This window comes from Homo sapiens, chromosome 11 (assembly GCF_000001405.40).
Source record: "Homo sapiens chromosome 11, GRCh38.p14 Primary Assembly".
Taxonomy (NCBI): Eukaryota; Metazoa; Chordata; class Mammalia; order Primates; family Hominidae; genus Homo; species Homo sapiens.
In genome coordinates this window covers 62,745,743-62,757,592 of record NC_000011.10, presented here as the reverse complement: position 1 = coordinate 62,757,592, position 11,850 = coordinate 62,745,743, and the positions used below count along the sequence as shown (strand labels likewise).

The 11,850-nt window shown below is 49.4% G+C and overlaps 1 protein-coding gene across 3 annotated transcripts, besides 3 other annotated features; it reads left to right on the top strand.

The window, feature by feature from the left end:
- Positions 240 to 766: an enhancer, noted in NCBI's record as "H3K27ac-H3K4me1 hESC enhancer chr11:62524299-62524825 (GRCh37/hg19 assembly coordinates)". NCBI's record gives its function as "activates a minimal SCP1, AML or CMV promoter by ChIP-STARR-seq in primed H9 embryonic stem cells {active_cell/tissue: H9 hESC(primed)}" and the evidence as "EXISTENCE:reporter gene assay evidence [ECO:0000049][PMID:30033119]".
- Positions 2,145 to 3,022: an enhancer, noted in NCBI's record as "H3K27ac-H3K4me1 hESC enhancer chr11:62522043-62522920 (GRCh37/hg19 assembly coordinates)". NCBI's record gives its function as "activates a minimal SCP1, AML or CMV promoter by ChIP-STARR-seq in primed H9 embryonic stem cells {active_cell/tissue: H9 hESC(primed)}" and the evidence as "EXISTENCE:reporter gene assay evidence [ECO:0000049][PMID:30033119]".
- Positions 3,433 to 6,630, top strand: ZBTB3 (zinc finger and BTB domain containing 3). Of its 3 annotated transcripts, none has more exons than NM_001363109.2 (2): positions 3,433 to 3,462; positions 3,878 to 6,630. In NM_001363109.2, the coding sequence occupies exon 2, from the start codon at positions 3,929 to 3,931 to the stop codon at positions 5,501 to 5,503; it is 1,575 nt and encodes a 524-aa protein (NP_001350038.1). In that variant the 5' UTR covers positions 3,433 to 3,462; positions 3,878 to 3,928; the 3' UTR covers positions 5,504 to 6,630. The 3 variants fall into 3 exon arrangements, with proteins under 3 accessions (NP_001350038.1, NP_001350037.1, NP_001357738.1); NM_001363108.2 differs by having other exon boundaries at positions 3,433 to 3,467; NM_001370809.1 differs by having other exon boundaries at positions 3,433 to 3,629.
- Positions 3,903 to 4,780: an enhancer, noted in NCBI's record as "H3K27ac-H3K4me1 hESC enhancer chr11:62520285-62521162 (GRCh37/hg19 assembly coordinates)". NCBI's record gives its function as "activates a minimal SCP1, AML or CMV promoter by ChIP-STARR-seq in naive H9 embryonic stem cells {active_cell/tissue: H9 hESC(naive)}" and the evidence as "EXISTENCE:reporter gene assay evidence [ECO:0000049][PMID:30033119]".
- Positions 6,631 to 11,850: the final 5,220 nt, after the last annotated feature.

The window sequence follows — 11,850 nt, the reverse complement described above, 5'->3', positions numbered from 1 at the left end:
AGAGAGACAAATAAAGAGACAAAGAAAGAAATAGAAAGAAAGGAAAGAAAGGAAGGAAGGAAGGAAGGAAGGAAGGAAGGAAGGAAGGAAGGAGAAAGGAAAAGAAAAGGAAGGAAAAGAAAAGAAATAAAAGAAAAAAGGAGAGAAAAGAAACTAGTACCGGGGGGCCGGTGGGGAGGGCGGTCTTGAGATCTGCACCCTAAACATTTGAGATCTGAGGTTATCTCCAGGTAGACAGTGTTGGCATTAAACAAGAGGACACCCAGCTGGAACTGCTTGCTTGTGGACTGGGGAAAAAACCAACACATTTGGTCACACAGTAGCCTTCTTTGTTGATTGTTGTGGTGGTGTGAGAGGAGAGAAAAACAGTGTCTCCCCCCAACCCCCCTGTAAAACAATGCCATTATTCTCACGACATATTTATTGATTTTGGTAAATAGTTATTTTTCCATCTCTATTTTAAAAAAATACATATATATATATATATATATATATATATATATATATATATATATATATGCCGGGGGCGGTGGCTGACGCCTGTAATCCCAACACTTTGGGAGGCCGAGACGGGCGGATCACCCGAGGTTGGGAGTTCGAGACCAGCCTGACCAACATGGAGAAACCTTGTCTCTACTAGAAATACAAAATTAGCCGGGTGTGGTGGCGCATGCCTGTAATCCCAGCACTTTGGGAGGCAGAGGCGGGTGGATCATGAGGTCAGGAGATCGAGACCATCCTGGCTAACACAGTGAAACCCCGTCTCTACTAATAATACAAAAAATTAGCTGGGCGTGGTGGCCGGCGCCTGTAGTCCCAGCTACTCAGGAGGCTGAGGCAGGAGAATGGCGTGAACCCGGGAGGCGGAGCTTCCAGTGAGCCAAGATCGTGCCACTGCACTCCAGCCTGGGCGACAGAGCGACACACTGTCTCAAAACAAACAAAACAAACAAATATAAATATATATGAGGCCAGGCAAGGTGGCTCATGCCTGTAATCACAACACTTTGGGAGGCCAAAGTGGGTGGATCACCTGAGGGGTCAGAACTGCAATGAGACAAGATCACCCCACCGCACTCCAGCCTGGGCAACAGAGCAAGACGCAAAAAAAGAAAAATAAATGAAAATTAAATTAAATTAAAAATTAAAAAGGTCAGGCTTGGTGGCTGACACCTGTAATCTCAGCATTTTGGGAGGCCAAGCTGGGAGGATCACGTGAGCCCAGGAGTTCAAGACCAGCCTGGGCAACACAGAGTCCCCCTTCTCTATTTACAACATATACATACATATATTTTTATATGTATATAATTTATATATTTATATTTACATATATGTATATATAAAAACATATATATATTTTTTGAGATGGATTCTCCTGCCTCAGCCTCCCAAGTAGCTGGGATTATAGGTGCCAAGCTAATTTTTATATTTTTATTATTATTATTTATTTATTCTTTTTTTTTTTGAGATGGAATTTCACTCTTGTTGCCCAGGCTGGAGTGCAACGGCACGATCTCGGCTCACTACAACCTCCGCCCCCCAAGTTCAAGTGATTCTCCCGTCTCAGCCTCCCAAGTAGCTGAGATTACAGACATGCGCCACCACACCCTGCTAATTTTTGTACTTTTAATAGAGACAGGGTTTCTCCATGTTGGTCAGGCTGGTCTCGAACTCTCGACCTCAGGTGATCCACCTGCCTCGGACTCCCAAAGTGCTGGGATTACAGGCATGAGCCACTGTGCCCGGCCCATTTCTTAGTTTTAATTCCTATACAGTAAATATTGTATGGCTTGTAAGAATGAACACAGTGTCTTGAAGAGGCATGATCTCAAGCTAAGGCCAACATATCCTGAATGTATGTAGCACAAGTTTGTTGTATAGATGAACTCTCCCTAATTCTGGTTAGGTCTGATCGGAGGGCCTGACTGCAGAATAAAGTAGAGATGCTTAGGGTGGTGGGTGAAGGAGTGAGGATTAGGGCACCGAGTTTACTCCTCTAGTAACACTACCTGGGTCAGACGGGGCAGTTATCAGTGACTCCCAACTTATAGCCTTTTCCTCTGGGTGTGTAGAGACTCTCAAAGATTTCTTCAGTAGACACGGTTTTTGCTTCTTCTCTCCTGTCCTGGGACATTTTATGATCCTGACCCCATTCTTACCCTTCCTACCAGCACCTGCTCAGCACGCTCTGGAAACAAAGAACACTCTATCCTCTCACTGTAAATTGACTGTAGAGTCCAGGCTAGGGACACCACGACATCATCCCTGTAGCTGCTAGTTCTTTCATGCCATCACTGAGCCGGGAGCCCCGGAAACTTAGCTTGGAGGAGTGGAGCAGTAGGGCATCTTAAAATGTTTTTTTGTTTGTTTGTTTTAGATGGAGTTTTGCTCTGTCTCCCAGGCTGGAGTGCAGTGGCGCTATCTTGGCTCACTGCAACCTCTGCCTCCTGGGTTCAAGAGATTCTCCTGCCTCAGCCTCCCTAGAAGCTGGGATTTCAGGCACGCGCCACCATGCCCAGCTGATTTTTGTATTTTTAGTAGAGATGGGGTTTCACTATGTTGGCCAGGCTGCTCTTGAACTCCGGACCTCAAGTGATCTGCCCGTCTCAGCCTCCCAAACTGCTGGGATTAAAGGCGTGAGCCACCGAACCCGGCAAATCTTAGAATTTTTGAGAGGAAGGGACCTTCAAGAGACAAACGCAGTTCAGGGACGTGGGGCTATTGCCCACAGTCACCAGTTGGTTCTCTTTTTTTGGGGGGGTGGGGGGATAGGGTCTTACTCTGTCGCCCAGGCTGGAGTGCAGTGGCACGATCTTGACTCACTGCAACCTCCGCCTCCCGGGTTCAAGTGATTCTCCTGCTTCAGCCTCCCCAGTAGCTGGGATTACAGGCGCGCGCCCCCAAGACCTGCTAATTTTTGTATTTTTAGTAGAGACGGGGTTTCAGCATGTTGGCCAGGCTGGTATCGAACTCCTGACCCCAAGTGATCCGCCCTCCTCGGCCTCCCAGAGTCCTGGGATTACAGGCGTGAAGCACTGCGCCTGGCCTAGTTGGTTCTCTTTTTCCCTGTCAGCCTGTAGCGGGAGTGGCTTGCTGTCAGCTCGGGTCCGACACTGCAGGGTTCCCGACCTCCAGCCTCGCCAGGAGAGCGCCGCGTTCAGCGACTCGGAGCCGGGTACCTCCTGCCTGCTGGATTAGGTAGAAGGAGAAGCTCAGCCAATCCTGAGGGCTCGGAGGCAAGGAAGGCGGGACGAAGAGGAAAAGTTGAGGACAGGAGCGTCACCCAATCCAACGCCTGACTGCAAAAGCGATGGCGGCGAGCACCCAATTGTAGACGGCAGTTAGAGGGAGGATGGTTAGTGGAGAGCGGACCAATCCGTGACAGGGGAGGGCAATCTTAAGCCAATTAAAGCTGAGAAGGTGGGAAGGGGCGGAGCTCGCCCTGTGGCTGCTCGGTGGTGGGTGAGGTATCAGCTTTCTCCGCTAGTTCCCACCCTGGTAGTCCTTAGCCCCTGGAATGCGTGAGGGAGATGCTTAGGGAGTTCTCGAAGTGGGGCGTAGAGGCATCGCCTGGCAAGGCCTGGGAGCGAAAAAGATCTCTACTTCGTGGAGCCGTTGGACGCTACCGGGTGGGCATCAAGGAAGCGGAGGGTGGCTAAGGGGCGGGACTTCCGGGGGCAGGGCTTATCGGACGGGGGTGGGGCCTGTTCTAAGGTTAGGCCGAGGTGGGCGGAGCTAATGGGAGAGCTTTGGGTGTGACCTAGGAGAAAGAAGGGCAGTAACTTAAGCGATTGTTTTGGAGTGGCAAGTGATAGTTAAGGGCTGATAAGGTTGCTGGGGAGGTTACCTGTCTTAACTCACTGCCCTTTTTTCTCAGGGAGCCACTGGTGGGGACCTTTTTTGGGCCCCCTTTCCTTCGTGGGGTACTATGGAGTTCCCAGAACACAGTCAGCAGCTGCTGCAGAGCCTCCGGGAGCAGCGGTCCCAGGGTTTCCTTTGTGACTGCACCGTGATGGTGGGTAGTACCCAGTTCTTGGCCCATCGGGCTGTGCTGGCCTCCTGCAGCCCATTCTTCCAGCTTTTCTACAAGGAGCGGGAATTGGACAAGAGGGATCTGGTGTGTATTCACAATGAAATTGTCACAGCCCCAGCCTTTGGGCTGCTTCTGGACTTTATGTATGCTGGCCAGCTGACCCTGAGAGGGGATACCCCTGTGGAGGATGTGCTGGCAGCTGCCAGCTACTTGCACATGAATGACATCGTCAAGGTGTGTAAGCGGCGGCTTCAAGCCCGGGCCCTGGCAGAGGCAGACAGTACCAAGAAGGAGGAGGAAACCAACTCACAGCTTCCTAGTTTGGAGTTTTTGTCTAGTACTTCCCGTGGCACCCAACCTTCGTTGGCATCTGCTGAGACATCAGGCCACTGGGGCAAAGGGGAATGGAAAGGCTCTGCTGCTCCCTCACCTACTGTCCGTCCTCCAGATGAGCCACCAATGTCTAGTGGGGCTGACACTACACAGCCTGGCATGGAGGTTGACGCACCACATCTGCGGGCACCTCATCCACCAGTGGCTGATGTCTCTCTTGCCAGCCCTAGTAGCTCCACTGAGACCATTCCTACAAACTACTTCTCTTCTGGCATCTCAGCAGTTTCATTGGAGCCACTGCCATCTCTTGATGTGGGTCCTGAGAGTCTGAGGGTGGTGGAACCAAAGGATCCTGGAGGACCACTGCAAGGCTTCTATCCCCCAGCCTCAGCCCCAACGTCAGCCCCAGCCCCTGTCTCAGCTCCAGTTCCATCCCAGGCTCCAGCCCCAGCTGAAGCTGAGCTGGTCCAGGTGAAAGTTGAAGCTATTGTGATCTCTGATGAAGAGACTGATGTGTCAGATGAACAGCCTCAGGGTCCTGAGAGAGCTTTCCCATCTGGAGGAGCAGTGTATGGGGCACAGCCCTCCCAGCCAGAGGCTTTTGAAGACCCAGGGGCAGCAGGACTGGAGGAGGTGGGGCCAAGTGACCACTTCCTGCCAACAGACCCTCATCTACCCTACCATCTGCTGCCAGGTGCAGGGCAGTATCATCGAGGACTGGTGACCTCACCTCTGCCTGCACCCGCATCCCTGCATGAGCCACTTTACCTGTCTTCTGAGTACGAAGCAGCTCCAGGAAGCTTTGGGGTTTTTACTGAGGATGTTCCCACCTGCAAGACATGTGGGAAGACCTTCTCATGCTCTTACACACTACGGCGACATGCCACGGTGCACACACGTGAGCGACCCTATGAGTGCCGCTACTGCCTGCGGAGCTACACGCAGTCAGGGGACCTCTACCGCCACATCCGCAAGGCTCACAATGAGGACCTGGCCAAACGCAGCAAACCAGATCCAGAAGTGGGACCCCTTCTAGGGGTGCAGCCTCTCCCTGGCTCCCCAACAGCAGACAGACAGAGCAGCAGTGGTGGAGGGCCACCTAAAGATTTTGTATTGGCCCCAAAAACTAACATCTAAGGGAGCATGAGCTGATGCTAGGCTGCTCTTACCATCCTTAGATGGCAGCTCAGAAGGTTGGTGGCACCTTATCACCCCTGCTGGGTGACAAGAATAAAGGCTCTGCCCAGGCTGAAAGTTCCTACCCTTTTTTTTTTTTAATCTTTTATTTTTTTGAGACAGAGTCTCACTCTGTCACCCAGACTGGAGTGCAGTGGCGCGATCTCGGCTCACTGCAAGCTCAGCCTCCCCGATTCACGCCATTCTCCTGCCTCAGCCTCCCGAGTAGCTGGGACTACAGGCGCCTATCACCATGCCTGGCTAATTTTTTTTGATTTTTAGTAGAGACAGGGTTTCACCGTGTTAGCCAGGATGGTCTCGATCTTCTGACAGATCTGACCTCGTGATCCGCCCATCTCCACCTCCCGCAGTGCTGGGATTACAGGCATGAGCCACCGCGCCCAGCTGCCTTTTTTTTTTTGAGTCTTGCTCTGTCACTGAGGCTGGAGTGCAGTGGCGCAATTTCAGCTCACTGCAACCTCTGCCTCCCAGGTTCAAGCGATTCCTTTTTTTTTTTTTTTTTTTGAGACAGAGTCTCACTCTGTCCCCCAGGCTGGAGTGCAGTGGCGCGATCTTGGCCCACCACGCCCGCCTAATTTTTTGTATTTTTTAGTAGAGACGGGGTTTCACCGTGTTAGTCAGGATGGTCTCGATCTCCTGACCTCGTGATCCACCCGCCTCAGCCTCCCAAAGTGCTGGGATTACAGGCTTGAGCCACCGTGCCTGGCCTCAAGCGATTCTCTTAACTCAGCCTCTTGAGTAGCTGGGATTACAGGAACGCGCCACCACGCCCAGCTAATTCCTGTATTTTTAGTAGAGACAGGGTTTCACCATGTTGGCCAGGCTGGTCTCAAATTCCTGACCCCAGGTGATCTGCCCACCTTGGCCTTAAAAAGTGCTGGGATTAAAGGCGTGAGCCACCATGCCCAGCCTCCTACCCTTTTCTTTGCCCAGCCAGATAAGCAGGACTTTATGGGGCAAAGCCTATGTCAGCTCTCTCCAAGGGCACTGGGAATTTTCCTGAGGTGTAATCGCTTCTCACTGTATGTTCTGGAACATAAAGCTAGCAATGAAGGTATTTCTTTGAACTGGTGTTGGCTGGTTTCTTCTAAAAACCTGCATGCTTTCATACCTCTCCTGCAGTTCTTTTTTTTTTTTTTTTTTTTTTTTTTGAGACGGAGTCTCTCTGTCACCCAGGCTGGAATGCAGTGGCGCGATCTCGGCTCACTGCCAGCTCCGCCTTCCTGGTTCACACCATTCTCCTGCCTCAGCCTCCCTAGTAGCTGGGACTACAGGCACCCACCACCAAGCCCGGCTAATTTTTTGTATTTTTAGTAGAGACAGGGTTTCACCGTGTTAGCCAGGATGGTCTCGATCTCCTGACCTCATGATCCGCCCGCCTCTGCCTCCCAAAGTGCTGGGATTACAGGCGTGAGCCACGGCTCTCCTTCAGTTCTTTTTGGAATGTTACATCTGTACTTGGGGTAGGGGTAGGGGTAGGGGTCAGACTGCTCATGAGGAAAAAAGTGGGACAGGCAGAGGGCGATGTAGCCTTTACTTAGGAGAAGTATAGAAATTAAGGAAGCTTATAAAATTATGATTTATTATTGCAGTCGAGCTGTCTTCTGGGCTTTATCAGACATTTCGTATAAATACTCATTTAATCCTCAACAACATTAGGAGGTATGAGGTCCACTTCCTGTTTTGTTTGTTGTTGTTCATAAACCTGAGACTTAGAAATCAAAGTTAACTTGTTCAGGGTCACAGAGGCTAGTTAAGGGGCAAGCCAGCATTTGAACCTGGCTTGCCACTGCAAACACCCTGCCTGCTATACTGGTTAAAAACATTGTTTCTTCCAGGTGTGGTGGCTCATGCCTGTAATACCAACACTTTGGGAGGCCGAGGTGACCAGCCTGCCCAACATGGTGAAACCCCATCTCTACTAAAAACACAAAAAAAATTGTCTAGGTATGGTGGCTCTCACCTGTAATTACAGCACTTTGGGAGGCCAATGCGGGCGGATCACTTGAGGTCAGGAGTTCAAGACCAGACTGGCCAACATGGTGAAACCGTCTCTACTAAAACTACAAAAATTAGCCAGGAGTGGTGGTGGGCGCCTGTAATCCCAGCTACCTGGGAGGCTGAGGCAGGAGAATCATTTGAACCCAGGAGGTAGAGGTTGCAGTGAGCTGAGATCACGCCACTGCACTTCAGCCTGGGTGACAAGACCGAAACTCCACCTCAAAAAAAAGAAAACAAAAATTATCCAGGCTTGGTGGCGGGTGCCTGTAATCCCAGCTACTCAGGAGGTTGAGGCAGGAGAATTGCTTGAACCTGGGAGGCGGAGGTTGCAGTGAGCCGAGATCGCATCATTGCATTCCAACCTGGGCAACAAGAGTGAGACTCTGTCTCAAAAAAAAAAAAAAAAACAACATTGTTTGAAGGGCTGTTGGGGTGGCTCATGCCTGTTCTCCCAGCACTTTGGGAGGCTGAGGTGAAGGATCGCTTGTGGCTAGGAGTTACAGATTAGCCTGGGCAACATAGTGAGGCCTGCCTGTCACTATAAAATAATAATGAAAAGTTGAACTTAGTTAACCAAGAACTGTAAGTTGTTTTCTTTTTCTGTCCTTTTGTGTATTTGGCTTTGTTGCCTTGTTACCTCTGCTTTCCCCACTGAAAGACCTTTTGTTGATAGAACAGGTACTGTATTGATGATCTGAAATTTTTGCCTCAAGTTGTAGATATGAATTGACTTCTTTGAAGATGAGAAACTGGAAGGCAGGAAACACTAAGGCCCATAGTGGCTGATTAGTGGTGGGAGGTTGAGGGTCTGAGGTGCTGTGGCAATGATGGGTACTTGCAAAACCTAAAGCGAGAAACTCAGGATGAGAGGATCTTACAGTTCATGTAGTCCAACTCCCTCACTTGAAAAGTGTGACGACAACAGTCTAGGGAGGTTTAGGTTACTCACCTAAGGTCACGCAGGTGGTTACTGACAGTGGAGATAGCAAAGAAATGGGAGTTTGGGGTGCCATCATGGGATGGGGGCAAAAAAGAGCTCTGGGAATGTGTGAGGAGTCTGGCCCCGCCTGTGCTGTAGGAGGGCCTAAAGGTTTGCCTACAAACTTTTTCTTGGTACGTAAGGACATGAGTGCAAATAAAGCAGGAAGGAAAACAGAAATACGCTGGTCGCGGTGGCTCACGCCTGTAATCCCAGCACTTTGGGAGGCCGAGGCGGGCGGATCACAAGGTCAGGAGTTGGAGACCAGGCTGGCCAACATAGTGAAACCCCATCTCTACTAAAAATACAAAAAATTAGCTGGGCGTGGTGGCAGGCGTCTGTAATCCCAGCTACTCGGGAGGCTGAGGCAGGAGAATTGCTTGAACCCGGGAGGCGGAGGTTGCAGTGAGCCGAGATCACGCCATTGCACTCCAACCCTGGGTGACAGTGCGAGACTCCATCTCAAAAAAGAAAAAAAGAAAAGGGGGAAAATGACAAGTAAATATTCTTCTCTCTTTTTGAGTCTGTGTCATATTCAGCACTGTGAACCCTTACCAGCAAGTGACTATTTTTGAGTTACAGGAAGGAAAGGTGAGCAGCCATGTGGCTAAAGAAAGCTCCTTAACTAGGACATATGGGAAGCAAAAGATGGTTAACATTTTTCTGCTGAATGAATTCTACATTCTTTCACATTCTTTGTGTTGAAATAAACTTCTAGCTTATCTTTCAAATGGCTCCTAATTTTATTTATGCAAGTACGTTACTGCTTTAATTCCTTGATGAAACAAGGCAAGATATAAATAAATACAATAAAAGCTATTCTAGCTGGGTAGAACACCTTTTCAAAAGTCTTCCCTAGAGTAAATATCAAATCAAAATGCCTTTATGAATCAGTTGCCCTTAAAAGGGTGGATTTTACGGTCTGAATATCTCAATTTCAACAGAAACACAAAACAGAAAAAAAAAAACCTGGTTGTCTCAGAACATCAGTTCTTAAAATCAAGGCATAATAAATGGTCTATATGTGTAGACAATTTTGATGTAGATGATCTCTCCAGACAGTCTGGGGAACACAGGAACCATTGTATTGATCAGACTGTGGTCACATGTACTACTTAGCTAAAGAGGTTCTGTTCCTGGTGAGATTCTCCTGAGAAGCAAGCATTTGCTTTCAATATCCAGCATAAAGGGCATGTTTTCTTGCAGGTGGCAGTCAGGAATTTGCAATATTTTAATTAATTAATTTATTTATTTATTTTGAGACAAGGTCTCTCTGTTTCCGAGGCTGGAGTGCAGTGGCACTATCACGACTCACTGCAGCCTCAACCCCTCTAGCTCCCAAGCAGCTGGAACTACAGGCATGCACTATCACGCATGGCTAATTTTTGTATCTTTTGTGGAGATGACGTTTCGCGCTGTTGCTCAGGCTGGTCTCAAACTCCTGGGCTCAAGCGATCCACCTGCCTTGGCCTCCCAAAGTGCTGGGATTTCAGGCATGAGCCATCATGCCCAGCCTGCAAGATATGTAAAGCAGTAGCTATCACAGTTACAGCCACTGTGGCCTCGTTATTATTACTATTTTTTGACGGAATTTCACTCTTGTTGCCCAGGCCAGAGTACAATGGCATGATCTTGGCTCAGTGCAATCTCGGCTCACTGCAACCTCCGCCTCCTGGGTTCAAGCGATTCTCCTGCCTCAGCCTCCCTAGTAGCTGGAATTACAGGCTGCGCCACCACGCCTGGTTAATTTTTTTTGTATTTTTAGTAGAGACGGGGTTTCTCCATGTTGGTCAGGCTGGTCTGGAACTCCCGACCTCAGATCCGCCCCGCCTCGGCCTCCCAAAGTGCTGGCATTATAGGTGTGAACCACCGCACCCAGCCTCATTTTATTTATTATTTTTTTTTTAGTTTGATTTTTTTTTTAGACAGAGTCTCCCTCTGTCACCCAGGCTGGAGTGCAGCGGTGGCTGGGATTACAGGAATAAGCCACCATACCCAGCCTGTGGCCTCAGTTTATCTACTGAATGGTAGGAACAGTTTATGCCCATTTGTAGAGATGTGATCAATAATTCTTTCTCATTTCCACTGGTCTTAATGCTCCCATTCAGGGATTCAAGGAACCATAGGCTCCTGGGGATCAGCTCATCTAATTTCTAGTCTAACACTGAATCCTCCTTTTGCCAGTTGTTATCAAACCTCCACTTGAGGCCGGGAATGGCACCTCACACCTAGAATTCCAGCACTCTGGGAGGCCGAGGTGGACAGATTATTGGGAGGTCAGGAGTTCAAGACCAGCCTGGCCAAGATGGTGAAACCCTGTCTCTACTAAAAATACAAAAATTAGGCAGGCATGTCAGTGTGCACACACCTGTGGTCCCAGCTAATTGCTTGGCGGCCAAGCCAGGAGAATTGCTTGAACCTGGGAGGCAGAGGTTGTAGCAAGCCAAGATCACACCACTGCATTCCAGCCTGGGGAACAGAGCGAGACTCCATCTCAAAAAACAAAAAACAAACAAAAAAAAAACAACCAGGCCAGGCACGGTGGCTCACACCTGTAATCCCAGCACTTTGGGAGGCTCAGTCTGGTGGATCACAAGGTCAGGAGTTCAAGACCAGCCTGGCCAAGATGGTGAAACCTCATCTCTACTAAAAATACAAAAATTAGCCGGGAGTGCTGGCGGGCACCTGTAATCCTAGCTACTCAGGAGGCTGGGGCAGGAGAATCGCTTGAACCTGCGAGGCGGAGGTTGCAGTGAGCTGAGATCGTGCCACTGTACTCAAGCCTGGGCTACAGAGCGAGACTCTGTCTCAAAAAAAAAAAAAAAAACCTCGGCCTGGCGTGGTGGCTCACGCCTGTAATCCCAGCACTTTGGGAGGCCGAGGCAGGCGGATCACAAGGTCAGGAGATCGAGACAATCCTGGCTAACACGGTGAAACCCCGTCTCTACTAAAAATGCAAAAAGTTAGCCAGGCGTGGTGGCGGGAGCCTGTAGTCCCAGCTACTCAGGAGGCTGAGGCAGGAGAATGGAGTGAACCTGGGAGGCGGAGCTTGCAGTGAGCCGAGATCACGCCACTGCACTCCAGTCTGGGCGACAGAGCGAGACTCTGTCTCAAAAAAAAAAAAAAAAAACCCAAAAAACTCTTTCCCAAAGGAAACCTATTGTTGGTGTCCTAGTTGTTGGATTTCCTTAGACTGAGCCAAAATCTGTCTCCCTTTATAGGAGTATGGACCAGGCCCCAGCCTATTAAGTTTCATACTGAAAATGTGTGCTTGTGAGCTATAAACTGACTTAGTTTTCTTTTTTCT

Bases quoted from the DNA above. Each gene is read 5' to 3' on its own strand.
- ZBTB3 (NM_001363109.2), top strand. From the start codon at position 3,929: ATGGAGTTCCCAGAACACAGTCAGCAGCTGCTGCAGAGCCTCCGGGAG.